At 39.9% G+C, this 19,585-nt stretch overlaps 1 protein-coding gene, 1 long non-coding RNA gene and 1 pseudogene across 3 annotated transcripts in view, besides 1 other annotated feature; 1 reads left to right on the forward strand and 2 right to left on the reverse strand.

Annotated features, from left to right (window-relative positions):
• Positions 3,143-3,312: an enhancer, noted in NCBI's record as "experimental_32684 CRE fragment used in MPRA reporter constructs". NCBI's record gives its function as "activates a minimal promoter by MPRAs in K562 erythroleukemia cells, with activity observed for both the introgressed and non-introgressed 13:23721843 variant alleles {active_cell/tissue: K562}" and the evidence as "EXISTENCE:reporter gene assay evidence [ECO:0000049][PMID:34662402]".
• On the reverse strand, positions 3,250-15,200 carry LOC124903134 (uncharacterized). Its single transcript, XR_007063719.1, has 2 exons — positions 14,690-15,200; positions 3,250-3,740 (listed from the first exon to the last, which is right to left on the reverse strand). It is a non-coding gene; the product is annotated as an uncharacterized LOC124903134 (long non-coding RNA).
• RNY3P4 (RNY3 pseudogene 4) lies at positions 8,112-8,210 on the reverse strand (annotated as a pseudogene).
• An 831-nt stretch (positions 15,201-16,031) lies between the features above and the next one.
• Positions 16,032-19,585, forward strand: part of SGCG (sarcoglycan gamma) — a 164,655-nt gene continuing 161,101 nt past the window's right edge. For both annotated transcript variants that reach the window (NM_001378244.1, XM_047430542.1), the window contains exon 1: positions 16,032-16,170. In NM_001378244.1, coding sequence (NP_001365173.1) covers positions 16,117-16,170 — 54 coding nt within the window. In that variant the 5' untranslated portion in view covers positions 16,032-16,116. The remainder of the gene's footprint in view (positions 16,171-19,585) is intronic.

The raw sequence follows: 19,585 nt of genomic DNA on the forward strand, positions 1-19,585 counted from the left end.
TAAATAAATGGGGATGAAAAATGAATGATGGACCAAAGTAAAGGAAAAAAAGGAAGAAACAGAAAGTGAAGAAAAACTGGGGGAAGTGACACAAAAACACAAGAGACTAGGAAAGAAAGTTGAAATGAAATTGTCTATTGATATAAAAAGGAGAAGCAGGAAAGAGAAGAGAGTTGAGAACGAATGGCAGTGACAGTGTATGGCAGTAGCGTGTCTTTAGAAATTTGCTAAAATGATTTTTTAATTATATGAAAATTGATAGAGTTAAGATTTAGTAAAATTAAGTAGTTGGCATGAGATCATGGCAATAATTTTAACTATTCTAAATTAAGATTATGAAATTTGAGAAAAAGGGATTTCTCCTATGAAAAAGCCCACAAAATTACTTGGTAAACAGAAATAAATGTAAAAAACTTACAGGAAAATATCTAAAGACATATTAATACTATTTTATTGGATAAATATTTGTCTAGAAATAATACAGTTTAAGTTGCAATAATTACTTTTAGACACTGAGGTACACTTAGTATACTGAAAAAGTAAAACACAAATGGTGTTAGGCCATAAAAAGTCCATTCTGTTTCAGAACATGTCTGACTTCTCCCAATATGTTGATGTACTTAAAGAACCTGGGTTATTAGCTTTTATTATCACATAATCAGATTGAATTAAATAAAATGAAGAAAAATGTATTAGGTCTATAGAAAGGTAAGAACATTATAATATTTCAATGAAACTTCAAAATCTGTTGCTCTACAACAAATCATTTAACAGATCACCTGGAATTGGTATTAAGAAATTAGAGTAAAAAATTGACGTGAAAACTTTGAAAATTAAAATGTTAAATAAAGCCAAAAGTTACTATGGCCATGGAATAAATTTCAAAGACAAATGGGCAAAGTTCGTTACACAAAATAACTGAGTTGAACAAAATAGAAAAGGAAGTGGCCACACAGACATTGCATGAAAACATTATTATTATTATTATTATTATTTTTATTTTTATTTTTTGAGACAGAGTTTCGCTCTTGTTGCCCAGGCTGGAGTGCAATGGTGTGATCTTGGCTCACTGTAACCTCTGCCTCCCGGGTTCAAGTGATTCTCCTGCCTCAGCCTGCCGAGTAGCTGGGATTATTACAGGTGCCTGCCACCATGTCCAGCTAATTTTTTGTATTTTTAGCAGAGACGGGGTTTCACTATGTTGGCCAGGCTGGTTGCGAACTCCTGATCTCAGGTGATCCAACTGCCTCGGCCTCCCAAAGTGCTGGGATACAGGCGTGAGCCACCGTGCCCGGCCAAAGACATTGATTATTAATGGTGGACTATTGGAACTCTAAAATAAATTTTCACTGCACTGCTCATTAGTTTCATTATTTATAGCAAAGAGAAATGCTTTGAAATAATTCAAGTTTAGCTATAAAAATTAAGACGTGAAGACTATCTGAAACATCTATCATATTTGATAGCTACAGGAATATTTTGAAGCATTCTTATTTATTATCTAATATATTTGTTGCACTATTAAAATACGACAGAAATAGTATTTAACTTGAAACACGGTCCTATGCCCATGAATTATGATTTATAATATCATAGGTAGAGTTAACAAGAAAATCACGCAGAATCTGTACATAAAAGGCCATGAATCAATTAGAGAACTGTTATTTCTGAGTCAGTACCAAGTGACCCATAAACTTAAGGAAGCCTGTCTCAGCTTAAAAACCAGTGTCCTAGAAAAAACCAGAATGTGTAACTGTTGGAAACAGAAGCGTCATGCTACATGAGTTGAGCTAATTCAATGATAAAACAAATAAAGCTTTTTGTTTTGAAATAATGTAAAACTGGCTGATTTTTGAAGACAGAAAATAAAAGCAAGGAAAATCGAAGAATACAAGCTGGATACTGACCTGTGTGGTAGACTGCACTATTGTTCTGAACCGGTCATCATTCTCCCTTACTTTTAGTTTCTAAATAATTTAGAGGATTATACAAGCCCATCTGCAGACAAGTGAACTGCAGCATCTTGTGAAGGATAAGCATATACATCCAGGCTCTGTTGATACCAGGTATGGGTAGGCGACTTGCCTTGGTGTAGGAGTATACTTGTGTTAACATATGCCAGGTGGAACAGAAGCTTTAAGATCTATTGTGTGTTTCCACCAGCTCCCTTGATTTTTCCCAAATAAATCCAAAACTGTGATGCTTGGCACATCTCAAATAAGAGGTTCTCCTTTAACCTAGGTCCTGGAATGAGAAAAAATATGAAACAGAGCAGCAGAGAAGCCAAACTGCAATGGTTGACATATAACATGACAGAAAACTAAATATTTCTGAACTCACTGCCTTACAAAACATAATCATGCTATTAAAACTCACTGCTAATATTTTCAGGATGTGTCCTGTCATCCTCACCAGCCACTTTTTCAAACCATGCGTCTGACAATTATTGTGAAATCAAAGTCTGCTTTTTATGTAACTCAAACTTCTGCTTTTGAGATTTTAATATATACGCATAGGTTTCAGTCAGAGAGATGAGTCATGAATACTCAGATCCAAATATATATAGCTCAAAAATAAACTGGCTACAACTTGTAAGGAGATTTAAATCCCCCTTTGCCATGCATTAACTATCAGCAGCTATTTCTTGGACAGCCTTCAGGGCTGCACACTCATGCTTCCAAAGAAAACCGTCTGTTGCAGTCACTGTGATGCGTCTACCCATCCGTCTCAGCCTGCTGTTAACCATGTCACAGACCTGCCTCTGATTCTCCCACAACTTCTGACCCCAGGTAGTGGGGAGCTACTCCCCGATTTTGTGTTACTTAGTTACCCAGGCCCAGAAACAGTTCTCCTTGAGTCTAAAGGCTCATAAAGTCTCTATTGAATAGTTTCATCAGGTTTTGTCTTGAGGAACTTTTTGACACGGAAACAGAAAAGTTCCCTTGTCCTCCTCGCAGGGCGGATGATAGGGGTGTGGCTCGCTTCTTCAGTGCCCCGCTGCCCAAACCGCTAGGGGAGCATACAGATGGGCAGGCTGTGGAGCTCCCACCCTAAGTCAGTGTCTAGGGGTGAATGTTTACAACTCCTGAAGCCCCAGTGGGCATGCTACAGGGTGCTCTTTTAGTTTAGCCATCTGTAGGCAGCTTGTGTTGGTCAGCTCAAGTAGACCCCTGCCTTATCACAAGGACAGAGATATTTCTGTATCCCAGGTTCTTGCCTTGGTGTACCAGAATCGGATCACACGTGGGCTTGGAGAATGAGTGTAACGTTTTATTGAGTAGAAGTAGCTCTCAGCAGATAAGGGAGCCAGAAGGAAGATAGTTTTCCGCTGGAGTTGGGCCACTCTGCATCCTGGGCTCTCCTCGGCTGCCCCAGCCAAACTCCGCATGGTTCTGCTTCTGTCCATCAGTGTGACCTGCAGGCGTCATTCTGCTTCTGCCATCGGTGGTTGGTGGCCTGCTGGCATGCCAATACCTGTCTCTCCACATCCCGTGTATTCCTCTGCTGATGTGCTCCTCCTGCTGTTCAGCCGCCTATGTGTCTGCCTGCAGGGTCTCGGGATTTTTAGGCACAGGATGGGGGCGTGGCAGGCCAGGGTGGTCTCATCTGTCCTCACCTAGGTCCGTGGGGGTGGAGTCCTAGCTAGGGGTCACTCCTTCCTCTACCCAGCACTTCCTTTCTCCCTTCAGTATCATTTAAAGGGGCCATGCTCTTCCCTTCCCGGCACTTCCATATGGGCACTACATGTTTAAATGAGAAAAAAAAAATCAAGGGCAAACATTAATTTTTCTAATAAAACATTAAAGGAATTTTTTCGAAATTAATTACCTACATAACTTGCTTTAATATTAACTTTCCTTTGGAGGAGCCAATGAAAAGTGGCCCATACTAGCAAGTGTAATTTGAAAAAAAGAAAAGATGTTGGCATTTCTAAAAAAAAAAACTTACTAAATTCTAGGTATTGTGTTCTATATTTTGCATACCTTAATTCATTTATTTCTTAAAACATTCCTATCATTTACATCTTAATTTTTACCCTCATGTTTTAGACGGGGAAAAAGAAGCATAAAGAATTTACAGTCTGGGCGCGGTGACTCATGCCTGTAATCCCAGCACTTTGGGAGGCTGAGGCAGGTGGATCACCTGAGGTCGGGAATTGGAGACCAGCCTGATCAAACACGGAGAAACCCCGTCTATACTGAAAATACAAAATTAGCCGGGCGTGGTGGCGCATGCCTGTAATCCCAGCTACTCAGGAGGCTGAGGCAGAAGAGTCGCTTGAACAAGGGAGGCGGAGGTTGTGGTGAGCTGAGCCATTGCACTCCAGCGTGGGCAACAAGAACAAAAACTGTCTCAAAAAAAAAAAGAATTTATACAGCTTGCCATAGGTCGTAAGATCATACAATGACCAAATAGAAAGAGATCAGAACCCACAGTTTCTACACCCAGAGGGCCCCCTAACCTTATACTATGTGGTCTTTACATAATTGAAAGTTATTAATATTCAGAATCATTGACATTTAGAACTATAGTAATTTCAGGTGCAGTGAGCCCACATGTTGTACAGTTAAGAAACACAGGACCATTCAAACCTTTAGCCTTTCTTGTAACACATTCCTGAATACTAAAAAAGCTGAGAAGAAAAAAATAGAGAAAGGAAATTTTTAAACATCAATTTAAAAAAATTAGTGTTAGGGATTTTTTTTTTAACAAGCATTTCAGTCACTGATGAAAAGCCTTAGGCCCACAGAGGTAGCTGTTACCACAGAAAAGATTGTTAGATCTAAGAATAGAATTTGGATTAACCAGGACCTCTAGCATAAAGTTCAATGTTCTTTCATCACAGCATGATGTTCAACTGAAATTTAAAGTCACAAATTTAAAGTTATAGTTTAACACATCACCTGTACCAATTTACATACAAATGTAGGTACAAGAAGAGCCCTTGGCTTGCAGACAGTCTTATAAAATATAGTGTTGAAGGGGAAAAAAAAAGGAACCTTGAACATCATCAAAGGAATAAACAAATAAGAAAGGGGATGGATTTTACGGAAATGACCTGAGAGCTGACTCTTACTTCGTTTTAACTAAATAAGAAAGAATAAGAAAAAAATGTACAGGTAAAAGCAGAATTGATGGCTTCCTGATCCTCTCTTTTCTGACTTCTGCAACTCACTGGAGCATGAGAGAAAAACAAAAGCTAATATTTTTATGTATATGCATTTTTCACAGCTTTACTGAAATATAATTCACATACCACACAAAATTCACCCATTTAAGGTACAGAATGAAAAAGGCTTTACTATATTCACAGTTATGCAGCAGGCACCAAACTCTCAACTTAGAACATTTTTATTAGCCCCTAATTGTCTATTTTTCATATTATGTCTATTAATTATACTATCTGATCTTTTGTCGTTGACTCCTTTCACCTAGTATAATGTTTTCAAAGTTCATCCATATTGTATTATGTGTCAGTAATTCATTCCTTTTATTGCTGAATAATATTCCATTGTATGGATATATCATGTTTTATTTATTCCTTCATCAGTTGATGTACATTTGGATTATTTCCCCATTTTTGCTGTTATGAATACTTCTAGTGTGCACATTTGTATGCAAGTTTTTTTATGGATTTGTTTTTATTTTTCTTGAATAGATAAATAGAAGAAAATTTCTGGGTCGTCTGACAAGGCTATGTTTAATGTTTTGAAGCACTCCCAAATTGTTTTCCAAAATGGTTGCAACATTTTACATTCCCTCCAGCAATATATGAGTGTTCCAATTTCTTCACATCCTCGCAAATTTGTGATTATTTGTCTTTTTTACTATAGCATTTCTAGAGGCTGGAAGTGGTATCTTATTGTGGTTTTGATTCGTGTTTTCTAAATGGCTAATGCTTCAAGTATCCTTTCCTATGTATATCTTTTTTGGAGAAATGTTCATTTTCAGTTAGCTCATCCTTTTATTGAGCTCCTTATCAGATATAGAATTTGCAAATCTTTTGTACCATTTTCATGTTTTCTTTGGCTTTCTTGATGGTATAATTTGCTGCAGAAACATTTTTTATTTTGATGAGGCCTAATTTGTTTTTTCATTTGTTACTACTGAGTTTGATGTGCATAACAAGCTTTTGCTGGGCTCAAGTTCATAAAAATTTATGTTCTCTTCTGAGAGTTTTTAGTTTTAGCTCTTACATTGAGGCATATGATACATTTTTAGTTAAATTTTGTGTATGGTAGGAAGAAGGAGCCCAACTTTATTCTTTTGTGTGTGAATATTCGGTTGTTTTATAAACATATGTTGATAAAACAATTCTTTTCCCATTGAATGCTCAATTAACTACAAATGTGAGAGTTTATTTATGAACTCAGTTCTGTTCCATTGATGTATATGTCTTATGCTAGTACCATATAGGTTTGTAGTAAGTTGCTAAATCAGAAATCATGAGGCCTCAACATTGTTCTTCTTTTTCCATATTACTTTCTCTGTTTTGGTAATCTTGCATTCCTATATGACTTTTGATACTAGCTTGTCCATTCTTTTGAAGCTAATGAACTTTATTTTTTATTGACATATAATAATTGTACATATGCATGGGGTACAGTGTGATGTCTGCATACATGTATACACTGTATAATCAAATCATGTTCATTAGCATATTTATCAACTTAAATATTTATCATTGCTTTGTCATGAGAACATTCACGACAAAATCTTCTCTTTTAGATATGTGAAATATACAATGCATTATAGTTAGCTATAGTCACTCTACTGTGCAAAAGAGCAGCAGTACTTATTTCTCCTGTCTAACTGTAACAGTTCACCTGTTGACCACCTTCTCCCCTTCTCCCCATTCTCATTATTCTCCTCAGTCTCTGGTAACCACTGTTCTACTCTCAACTTGTATCAGTTAATTTTTTTAGATTCCACATATGGGTGATATCTTATAGTATATATGTGTCTCTGTGCTTGGCTTATTTCACTTAACAAAATGTCCTCCAGGCTCATCCGTATTGTCACAAATGACAGGATTTCATCCTTTTCTGTGGGTGAATACTGTTTCATTGCATATAATAATCTCTTTATCCATTCATCTGTTGATGAGCATTTGGCTTGATTCCATAATCTGGCTATTGTGAATACTAATGCAACAAACATGACAGTGCAGATGTCCCTCTTCGACATATTGATTTCATTTCTTTCAGACATAAGCCCAGTAGTGGGATTGCTAGATCATACGCATATTAGTCCATTCTCATGCTGCTAATAAATACATACCAGAGACTGGGTAATTTATAAAGGAAAGAGGTTTAATTGACTCACAGTTCAGCATGGCTGGGGAGACCTCAGTAAACTTACAATCATGGTGGAAGAAGAAGCAAACACATCCTTCTTCATGTGGCAGCAGCAAGGTGAAGTGCCAAACAAAAGGGGGAAAAGCCCTTTATAAAACCATCAGATCCAGTGAGGACTCACTATCACAAGAACAGCAGCATGGGTGTAACCGCCTTCAAGATTCAATTACCTCCCGTTGGGTCCCTCCCAAGACACGTGGAGATTATGGGAACTACAATTCAAGATGAGATTTGGGTGGGGACACAGCCAAACTATGTCAATATAATTTGCCTTTCTTGGATGTTTAGCGAGGTTGAGCATTTTTTCATATGCTTCTTGGCTGTACATTGATTTTTCTATCTATATGATCTGTCCTTTGCTGAAATTAGGGTGTTGAAGTGCCCTACTATTATTTTATTGCTCTCTATTGCTCCCTTTAGATCTACTAATATTTGTTTCTTTGGGAAAAAAAAAAGCAGTTTTTCACCATTAAGTATGATGTGATGTTAGCTATAGGTTTTTTATAAATGCCCTTTATTGAGTTGAGGAAACTTCTTTCTATTTCTAGTTTGTTGGATATTTTTATTAGAAAAGAATGTTTCATTTTGACAAATGGCTTTTCTATGTCTATTAAGATGATAATTTGTTTTTTGTCCTTTATTCTCTAAATATGGTTAATTACAATGGATGGTTTTTAGATGCTTCACATTTGTGGGATAAATTCCATTGGGTCATGGTGTATAATGCTTTTTAAACTTTTAAAAAAAATTTTTAAGGTTAGTCAAGTAAAGCAGTGGGAGTGGAGAAGGAACAAAGAAATCTGTAACCGGCTGTGATCAATTATTTGTGTCACCACTGCATTTGGAGCAGCCGGTCATGGTGTATAATGCCTTTTATATGCTCCTAGATTATGTTGGCTAGTAATTTTTATATTTAATATTCATAGTATTTTTATTTCTATATTTGCAAGAGACATTGGCCTGTAGTTTTATTTTATTGTGAGGATTTTGTGTGGTTTGATTTCAGGGTAATACTCACCTCACAGAATAAATTGTTAAGTGTTCCTCCTTGTTTATCTTTTGTAAGAGTTCATAAAAAATTTATATTGATTCTCCCTTAAATGTTTGGTATAATTCACCAGTGAATCTATAGAGGCATGGGCCATTCTAGGAAGTTTCTCCATTTAGTAATTCGATCTCTTTACTTCTATTTGTATTGAGACTTTCTATTTCTTCTTGAGTCAGTTTTCAGCAGTTTCTATCTTTGTAGGAGTTTGTCCATTTTATCTAAGTTACGTTGTTTTTAGACATAGAGATGTTCATAGTATTCCCTTATAATCCTTTTGCTTTTTAAGGTTGATAATGATGTTTCCTTTTTTATTACTGATTTTTATAATTTGAGTATTCCTTCTGTGTGTGTGTGCCTGTCTGTCTGTCTCTCTCATATCAGTCTATCTAAAAGTTTCTCAGTTTAATCTTTTATAAATATTAGTTCCTTTTTCTATCATTTTTCTATTTTTCCACTATTTTTATTTCATGTATTTCTAATATAATCTTAGTACTTCCTTCCCTCTACTTGCATTATATTTTTTGTTTTTATTTTTCAAGTTTCTTCAGGTAAAAGGTAAAGTTAGAGATTTGAGATTTTTCTTGTCTCTAGTATAGGCATTCATAACTAAACATTTTCCTCTAAGCACTGCTTTAGCTGCATCACATAGGTTTTCATATATTCTGTTTTATTTTCATTTATCTCAAAGTATTCTTTTCCTTATTATCAAGTATATTACACATGTATATATTACAGGCCCAACAATAGAATTATATACACATTGATTTGTGCAATTGATTTGCATATCAATTAAGAGAAGAAGAAGCATACTATTATACTGTCTTTTACAATTACCTATGTAATACATTTACTAGTGCTGTGTGTGTGTGTGTGTGGTGTGTGTGTGTGTGTGTGTGTGTGTATTTGAATTAATGTCTTTCTTTCGGCCTGAAAAGCTTCTAGTGTTTCTTGCAAGTCAGGCCTACCCGTCTTTGATTCTGTTGGAGGGTCTTTAATTCTTAACCATGGTTTTCAAAGTTCTTTGAACATATTTAAAATAGACACTTTGAAGTCTCTGCTGAGTTTAACATCTCAGAAACCATTCCTATTGCCTGCTTTGTCTGCTGGATATGGGTTACACTTTACTGGTTTGTGTGTATGTATGTGTGTTTGCATATTTCATCTTTTTTGGGAAACTGGGACATTTTTTCATAGTGTATCATAGAAACTCTGGATTCTAATTCCTTCCCCTCCATCCCCAGGGTTTGTTCTTTGCTTCCTTGTTTACTTGTTTAATGATTTGTTTAGACTATTTCAGAGAAGTTGATTTTCCCCTCTGCATGTAGCTTGTAACAGAAACTCATATGGGGCAACCTTGGGCATGTATACAATATTCCTGACCAACCCTCCCCATATTCCTGTGATGTTAGCTAGGTTTGCATTGTTTGTTTCTCTCCCTGATCTCCCTGTTAAGCGTCTGGCTGATCTGCCTTTATTAGTATTACACCAGTTCTTAGCCTTTACTAATTGTTAGCTGATTCCTCTAATATTTTTGACAACATCTGGAGCATAAACTGTTCCATAATTTAATTTAATTACAGCCCAGTCCCCTTTTCATGGGTAGTCTTTGAGACCTCCTACAAGTCTAGGAGGACTCTTTTTTGCGACTTTTTTCCTGATGGTCTCTTAATTTTCTAGCTGGTCTACCATTTAGCTTTTTGTTATCATAAAGCTAGCAGTCTTCTCTTAATTGCTTACTGCCAAGATCTCCATTGTTTTTCATAGTGAACTTCTCCCCCATTCTGTTTCAAATAAAATCAGCTATGAAGTCCTCTATTCTTAAATCCTCCCTCTCGCCCTAGGAAGAAACTTTGTTCCACTGCTCCAGAGCTGGGGGTGGGGACAACAGGCTGCTTCTCTCAGAGTGACATCCCTGCTTCGTGAGCAGGACACTGAGTGGGGTTAGTAGCCCTTGGTCTTTTCAGCTTGCCTCTCCCAATATGGAACCTCCGCCCCATGTGTGGGCTAAGGCAGGGGTAGTAGTTGTCCAGTATTCTTCACCTGACACAATTTGAATAGAACTTCTACCTTACGGTGGTGGCTGGGTAGCAGGTGGCTGGGTAAAGCCCCAGTCCTTTCATCCACACTTGACTAGAATGGAGTTTACATACATGCTTTGGTGGACTAGGTGTGAGAATGATGGAGGCCAACCACCTCTGGAAAAAAACAAAATCCTGGACTGGTAACTGGGGTAGAGGGAGTCTATCTTCTTGGCCACACCTACCAAGAGTACAGCTTCCATCACACTGAGTTGGGGGTGGGGACTGAGTGGGTAGTGGTTCAAATGCCACAAACTCACACTGTTTTTACCAATATTTGTTAGATTTTAGAAATAAATATTTCTCCATTTGCTGTATGCCCTTAGGATGATTCCAGAGGCTTTAGTTAGTTTTAAAAAACAACAACAACAATTTTCAGTAACCAAAACAGCATGGTACTGATATAAAAGTAGATACATATACCAATGGACCAGAACAGAAATCACAGAAACAGGCCAGGCGCGGTGGCTCACGCCTGTAATACCAGCACTTTGGGAGGCCAAGGCGGGAGGATCACGAAGTCAGATCGAGACCATCCTGGCTAACTTGGTGAAACCCCGTCTCTATTAAAAAATACAAAAAATTAGCCGGGTGTGGTAGCAGGTGCCTGTAGTCCCAGCTACTCGGCTGAGGCAGGAGAGTGGTGTGAACCCGGGAGGCGGAGCTTGCAGTGAGCCGAGAATACGCCACTGCACTCCAGCCTGGACTGAATGAGGCTCCATCAAAAAAAGAAAACAGAAATCACAGAATAAAACCAAATATTTATAACAAACTATTATTCAACAAAGCATACAAAAACATAAATTGGGGACGGCATACCATATTCAATAAATGGTGTTGGGAAAACTGGATAGCCACATGTGGAAGAATGAAACTGGATCTCTTTCACCAACTACAAAAATCAACTCAAGGTGGATCAAAGACTTAAATCTAAGACCTGAAACCATTACAATTCTAGAAGAAAACTCAGGAAAAAACTCTTCTGGACATGGCTCTAGGGAAAGAATTTATGACTAATACCCTAAAAGCAAATGCAGCAAAACCAAAAATAAATACATGGGCCTAATTAAAGTAAAAAGGTTCTGCACCACAAAAGAAATAATCATCAGAGTAAACACACAACCCACAAAGTGGGAGAAAATATTTGCAAATTATGCAACTGACAAAGGATATTAGTCCAGAATCTATGAGGAACTGAAACTAATCAAAAAGGAAAAAAAAGGCCAGGTGCGGTGGCTCACGCCTGTAATCCCAGCACTTTGGGAGGCCGAGGCAGGCAGATCACGAGGTCAGGAGATCGAGATCATCCCGGCTAACACGGTGAAACCCCGTCTCTACTAAAAATACAAAAAATTAGCTGGGGGCGGTGGCGGGCGCCTGTAGTCCCAGCTACTCGTGAGGCTGAGGCTGGAGAATGGCGTGAACCCGGGAGGCGGAGCTTGCAGTGAGCCGAAATAGCGCCACTGCACTCCAGCCTGGGCGAAAGAGCGAGAATGCCGTCTAAAAAAAAAAAAAAAAAAACCCATGTAAAAGTGGGAAAATGACATGAATAGACATTTCTCAAAAGAAAAATGTACAAATGGCCAAAAACACGAAAAAATGCTCAACATCACTAATCATCAGGGAATTGCAAATTACAACCACAATGAAATACCACCTTACCACAGCCAGCGTAGGTATTATTAAAACTCAAAAAGCAACAGATGTTGGTGTGGATGTAGTGAAAAGGGAACGCTTATACACTGCTGGTGGGAATGTAAATTATTGTAACCTCTTTGGAAAACAGTATGGTGATTTCTCAAAGAACTAAAAGTAGATCTACCATTCAATCCAGCAATCCCATTACTAGGTATCTACTCCAAAGGAAAAGAAGTCACCATATCAAAGAGACACTTGCACGCATATGCTTATTGCAGCACAATTCACAATTGCAAAGATATGGAACTAACATAAGTACCCATCAACTGATGAGTGGATAAAGAAAATGTGGTACATATATGCCATGGAATACTACTCATCCACAAAAAAGAATAAAATGTCTTTTGCAGCAACTTGGATGGAGCTGGAGGCCATTATTTTAAGTGAAATCACTCAGGAATGAAAAAGCAAATACCGTATATTCTCACTCATAAGTGGGAGCTAAGCTATGGGTGCACAAAGGCATGCAGAGTGGTAGAATGGACATTGGAGACTCAGAAGCCAGAAAATGGGCAAGGGATAAAAAACTACATATTGTGTACAATGTATACGGCTCGGTGATGGGTGCACTAAAACCTCTGACTTCACCACTCTACAATTCATCCACATAACTATTGAAATTTAAAAATTACATCATCAGAGGCTGCGGCAGGAGAATGGCGTGAACCCAGGAGGCAGAGCTTGCAGTGAGCCAAGATCGCGCCACTGCACTCCAGCCTGGGCGACAGAGTGAGACTCCGTCTCAAAAAAAAAAAAAAAAAAAAACAATTACATCATCAGAATTTTAAAAAATAAAGTTCATTACAGCTAAAAATAAATTTCAAAATAAAATAAAAATAGTTCGATCAGGTAGAGTTGTTTCATCGGGGAGAGGATCTACAGAGAGATCTGCATGTCACCATTCCAGTGCTTTTCTTTGATTTTTTTTTTTTCCCCTGAGATGGAGTCTCCCTCCATTGCGCAGGCTGAAGTGCAGTTGCACCATCTCGCCTCACTGCAACTTCCACCTCCCGGGTTCAAGCGATTCTCCTGCCTCAGCCTCCTTGCTTTTCTTATTTATATGTACTTTCATATATCCTTTTAAAATTTATCTTTCTGTTTTACAATATAAACAATATATTGGCATTCACAGAAAATATACAATAAATTCATAAACGCATATAACTTATAAATAAACATACATGTATTGAGTTGCTCAAAATTCTTATTACTGGTAAGATGTTCGGTCCAGTCTGGAGATGGTATCCCTTGCCCACACCCCTGGTTGTTTTCATACACCACTTCGGATATATTTAGCTTTTTATCACGGGACTCATAAGTTCTCTAGATCCCCACTGCGATCGTCATCACCAGCACAAACTGTTGCTAATAATTTATTTCTAAGCCAACAAAGGAGAAGTTCTGGCTCTGAGATCAGATTAGTTTTGGCAATTAAAACACATTAATAACTTTTGAATTCTTTGGCAGAAATATTAAACTGCAGCCTTTACTGATTAGTACGGACATTTTTAGAGTAATAATTCACAATATCTGTCATTTGCTGCCTGTGAAATATGTAGGAAATTATTAATATACCCTTAATAATATATCTCTATATCCATCTTGTTTATCCTTTGCTCCTTGAGGGGGATATTTTTAGAAAATGATTATCACTGTCTATCAACTATAAGAGAGAGAAGTAATTAGAGAAGTATTGCACTGGACACTTCTGGAAAATTGGCTTTTCTCGTTTCAATTTCTACCTTTGCAAAAGTTTGCTTTTAAAAAGTGTAATCTAGAAGTTGTAAACATTTCTGCCTTGCAGTTATCCATTCTGTTACATTAAAAACATTTTAAAACGGTCCAACATCTTTATGTTTCTACTTGGTCCCAAATATGGTACCAGATTTTTACTGTAAAAAATCATAAAATACACCAGCATGATCCTTTCGGGAATATATTTGAAAGTTTACCTCCTTAGCACACTCACCAAACATCTTCAGATACCCATACCATTCACACAAAGCTGGTAAAACCAAGATGCTCCCCCGTGATGCATGTGTACGGAGAATGTCAACGAATAAATAAGTGAGTTAAATACACAAGCACTAATTAGAAAACTGTATTGAGAGGTGAGCCCAGCTGGACTTCCTGGGTGAAGTGGGGACTTGAGGAACTTTCCTCTCTTACAAGAGGATTGTAAAACACACCAATCAGCCCTCTGTAAAACACACCAAGCAGCGCTCTGTAAAACACACCAATTGGCGCTCTGTAAAACGCATCAATCAGTAGGATTCTAAAAGTAGCCAATCATGGGGAGGATTGAAAAAAGGGCACTCTGGTAGGACAGAAAAGCAACATGGGGGCGGGGCAGGGGAGGGAGAGACAATAAGGGAATAAAAGTTGCCCCCCATGCTGGCTGGAGTCTCCTTTCACAGTGTGAAACGTTTGTTGTTTTGGTCTTCACAATAAACCTTGGTACCGCCAACTCTTTGGTCCGTGCCATCTAAAAGCGCTGTGACACTCACCGCGAAGGTCCCGGCTTTATTCCTGAGACCACGAACCCACCGGCAGGAACCAACTCCAGACTACTATGTGCTACAGAGAACTTCTTCAGGCCTTGAAAATAGAACATAGTAAAAAGCGGCTTCTTTGTCCATGGATCAGCAGTCACTATTTCCCAGCTCGCCTCCAAGAGCTAACTAAAGTGCAGCATAAACTGCATGCAGCATTGTTTTCACCACAGCAAACCCTTCGGGGTGCCTCCTAGCGGCGGATGGAGAACTAGCATTGCGCGAGAGTGAGTAAACTGTGATAAACCCAAGGGGTTTGCGGGGGACAGGCTGGGTGGCAAGACTTTTAAAGGCTCGCAAATGGAACCACTCCCTCCAGAGGGACTATCTAAATCTCCTCAGGTGCTGACCCTTTCTGACAGTAAAGGACGAGGGCCAGAAGTGTAAAGATTGTGGTCCCGCGCTCCAAGCCCAAGATGCGTTCAGCAGGAGTAGTTGGGTTGGAAAGAAGGCACCCAGCGTCTGCAGCGAAGGACTCGCGTGGGAGCGAGAAATGTCCCTGCCCAGTGCCCCGCGCGCTGGATCGCGGGGGCGAGTCTGAGGGTGGAGAGGCCGCCGGGTGGAGGCGCGCAGGGGTGCGTGGGTGGGTGCGGAAGGAGTGCAGGGTATGGAGGGGAATCTTGGGGCGGCGCGAAGGAGGAGCGCTTGGAAAGGCGCGGTGTTTGGTCACAGAGGGGCTCGGAGTGGGAGTGCAGGGGTGCGGGGAGGGAGTGCAGGGACGCGGGGAGGGAGTGGAGGGGTGGGGACGTGCTGGAGGGGCGCGCCTCGATAGAACTGGAGAAACTGGAAAAGTGGAGGGGCGGGGCAGTGGCTGGAGGAACCTCTGAAGCGACGCGGGGAATATGTGAAGGAGTGCTATGTTGGAACTTGGAGGGGAGGGGGGATGCTGGAGAGGCACACGGTGATGGACATGGAAGGACCCGGGAGGTGTGGAGTGGTGGGCCCGGCCCGTCGCGGGAAGGACACAGAGGGACATAGGCTGCCCTGGAGAGGCGCTTTCGGACATCTGGAGGGGCGCATAGTGCTGGGACTTGGCGGCGCCTGGGGCGGAGGGGCGCGCCGGATCCAGCCGGGCGCGCTCGGGGGCCGGGCGCAGTGGGAGTTGACGGGCGTCCAGCCGGCGGCGCCCTGGGCTCGGCTAGGCGCAGGACGGCCCTGGCAGCGGTGCAGCAGCCCAGGCTAGTTCCTGGGGGGTCCCTGGTCCCCGCCTCCCCGCGCGCCCCGGCCAGCACCGCCCGGAGTCCGGGCGGGGAAGTGGGCGCCCGCGGCTTGGGAAGCTGCTCCCCCGCCCTGGAGCAGAGTCGTCGCTGCGGTCGCTGAGGAAGGACGGAGCAGAGGCCCGCGCTGTCTGGGGAGAAGACTGTGGTGTCATCCCGTCGGGAATGAAGGGAAATGCAGCGGCTGTTTGCGCCCCGGGACTCCAAGAAGTACAGCAGGTAAAGAGAATAGCCACGGCCCGCCACTTCGCCTTCAGTTCCCCCAATTCCTGGGTCCCTTCCTTCTCCTCCAACCTCCTAAACTAACCCCTCTGTTGTTAGACGTCCCTATGCCGGTTCCAGCCTTCCTCCTAGGACTCCATCACCACCCGTGCCCTCTTTCTCCTCGCCTTCTCTGCCCCAGACAGCACTTTCCTTCCCCTGCCCCCTTGTGGGGGCTCAGGGACAAGAGTAAAATGTAATTTAGACAGTTGGCTTTTCTTTGCCCAAAGACTTCACTAACTGATCCTCATTCTGCAATGAGACTTAATAACTTCCTGTGTGCGTGTGTGTGGTGTGAGAGAATCAGAGTGAATTGGTTCTCTGCAAATGATTTTGCCAAAAACTTTGCCCTGGGTTGCTTGCTGGGGAGTCTGTAACACTGAGTAAGCGGAGTGTCTGCACCAAGTGCAAAGTTGCGTAGGGGTTACTTGGGGGTTTTAGAGGGGAACTGAAGCGCAGCAGCGGGGCTCTGTCGTCTTCAATGGGATTACATAATAACTTGATGATCCTCACCACCCTTATACTCATTACCTCCATTAAGTACCACTAATTAATATTTACATATTTGCATGCTGTCACTTGGTTACATCAGCGTTAGCAAGTTGCTTGTTCTTACATCATTACCGAGTATTCTGATGTTTCTGAATGTTAGCACGGCACCAGCCAGTTGATCTGTGAAACATCTACTCATCCAGTGATAATATTGTACAGGCGGATTTTGTAATGCTGGCGCTCCATGTATATCCGTACTATTCATGTACTAATACTCCTGGCTGTTCCTTAACACAGGTAAATTGGTGCTAATAAAGCAATGGAATCGTATTTACATTTTTCAATGTAATATGGGTCTTCCCATGCTTTTCTTCCTTTGATATGAACAGACTGTAAAGAAGCTGTAAAGAAGAGATTGCACAATTCTATTCCAAAAGTACACATAAGCTAAAATCTTCGTTTTTGTTGACGTAATCTTTTGCTAACAGGTTCAGTGTCTCTGGTATTAAAACTTCCTTTCATGACAATATGCTTCCAAATTGACTAGCAAGCAGGCATCCATCCACATGTGTTAAAATATCTTACAGTAAACTTTTAAAGTTATACAGCAGTTATATCTTCAAATATTGTACTTAAGTCCTCTGTTCTTTTCATCTTTAATGTTTTTGCTGAATCAGACAGACACAATATTTAGTGGATGTTACACGTAAATAATTAACGTGTATGATACACTTAACACCGTGGCCTCACATGTGCCACGACTGTACTCTGTCAATCTTTCTTAAATCTCAGAAAAAAGGTAGTGATAAATAGCTCATTTAATAAATTCAAATGATCAGAGCTACATAGCCTAGCTAGTCTACATAACAGACTATAAAATCAATAAACTTTCACGTTGTACAAATAATTTATTTACATTTTAAAACTACTAAAACACCTCTCAGAGATAACCAGGATAATAATACTCCATTTTAAAAGTAACATTTTATAAATTGTGGGTTGGTAATATTTAAGATCATTTTTATTTAAATATGTATACACATATATACACACACTATTACATTTTAATCAGCATCATTATGTTATCTTAGGAATGGTTTTTTATTATTTGTCAGACTCTCACTTGATGTTTACTGCTTAAGACTGTATCCTGGGCGGGCGCGGTGGCTCACGCCTGTAATCCCAGACCTTTGGGAGGCCGAGGTGGGCGGATCACGAGGTCAGGAGATGGAGACCATCCTGGCTCCTGGCTAACACGGTGAAACCCCGTGTCTACTAAAAATATTTTTTTAAAAATTAGCCGGGCGTGGTGGCAGGCGCCTGTAGTCCCAGCTACTCCGGAGGCTGAGGCAGAAGAATGGCGTGAACCCGGGAGGCGGAGCTTGCAGTGAGCCGAGATCAGGCCCCTGCACTCCAGCCTGGGCAACAGAGCACGACTCCGTCTCTTAAAAACGAGCCTGGGCATCATGGTGAAACCCGATCTCTGCTAAAAATACAAAAATTATCTGGGTGTGGTGGCACACGCCTGTAGTCCCAGCTTCTCGGGAGGCTGAGGCAGGAGAATCACTTGAACCTGGGTGGCGAAGTTGCAGTGAGCTGAGGTCGCACCAATGCACTCCAGCCTGGGCGATAGAGTAAGACTCCGTCTCAAAAATAAATAAATAAATAATAAATAAATAAATAATTTAAAAAATAAGACTGTGTCCTACAAGAGACCTTATTGTACTGTGGGTAAAATACATAAATGTCTAGGGACATGGTTATAGTTAACTAAAAAAGATAAAGATAATTTTATTTCTTATTCTAAAATTGTAGGAAAATGATTTATATGGACATGATAATAGTGGTACAATAATTCATACTTAAGTGATGGTACCTTGTATTTTTTGAATGCCAATTTTCGTAGGTTTTCTGTAGTTAAATGTGAAGTAAAAAAATTGGTTGTGTGTTGACAGTGGTAACAATACAATGTTTTCTATACAGGGATCCCTGGTTAAAGTAAACTAGCATATACATTTCTAAACATGACATCTTCAAAATTAGGAAATAAAATTAACTACCTTAGCAACATGCATTTTGACATTTCATTTTGTTACATATGAGGGAAATATTTATGCCGGAATAGGAAACAGCAGGTAAAGTAAGAAAAGGGTAAAATGATACTTTCCAAGGTAATTTAAGGTCCTGGGGCCCTTTGAGAATCTGGTAATAGTTACAGATCTGCTGTCTAGAAAAATGTCTGGACCTAATACCTAATTTGGACTCAATTTCAATTAGGTTAATACCTAATTCAGACTTGGTTTGAAGAGGGGACCCAGTTCTGGACCCCTGAGTGGGATCACCTAAATTAAATCCCAGCATGGATGTGGGCTTGGTTGCTTCAGGTACAAAACCTTGAGTCATTCCATTATATCAAAGTATAGCTACATCAGTAATTAAATAATGAAAGCTGAACTGGACAAGTAACATGAATCAGATATCAATTTGTAAAAATACACTGTTTTTTGTCTAGTAGACTTTATTCAATATTTGTTGCTAAACTCTTTTTCAAAACTAAGATATAGTAAGTTACCTGAATAAGAAAAGGGAAAATTTTTAAACATGAAAAATTTAACTAAAATCATATTGAATTGAAGACAAAGGCCTAACTAGCAACCAGATATAAAAAGGCTAAAACTAAGTAATAAAGTTATACTTTTATAAGGAATGTTTATGAAAATCATTGAATTATTTGCATGAAATTCCATGGATTGTGTTACACTTGGGGTTGCCTTGCATTTTAAAGGCATGGTGATGCACAGAAATTGTAGTTGCAAATGCCCCCTGCATATTAAGTTCTGGTTGCATTCTTTTTCTCTTCTCTCCTGGTAGGCCCTGCTGT

The sequence above is a fragment of the Homo sapiens genome, chromosome 13 (genome assembly GCF_000001405.40).
Source record: "Homo sapiens chromosome 13, GRCh38.p14 Primary Assembly".
Classification (NCBI taxonomy): Eukaryota; Metazoa; Chordata; class Mammalia; order Primates; family Hominidae; genus Homo; species Homo sapiens.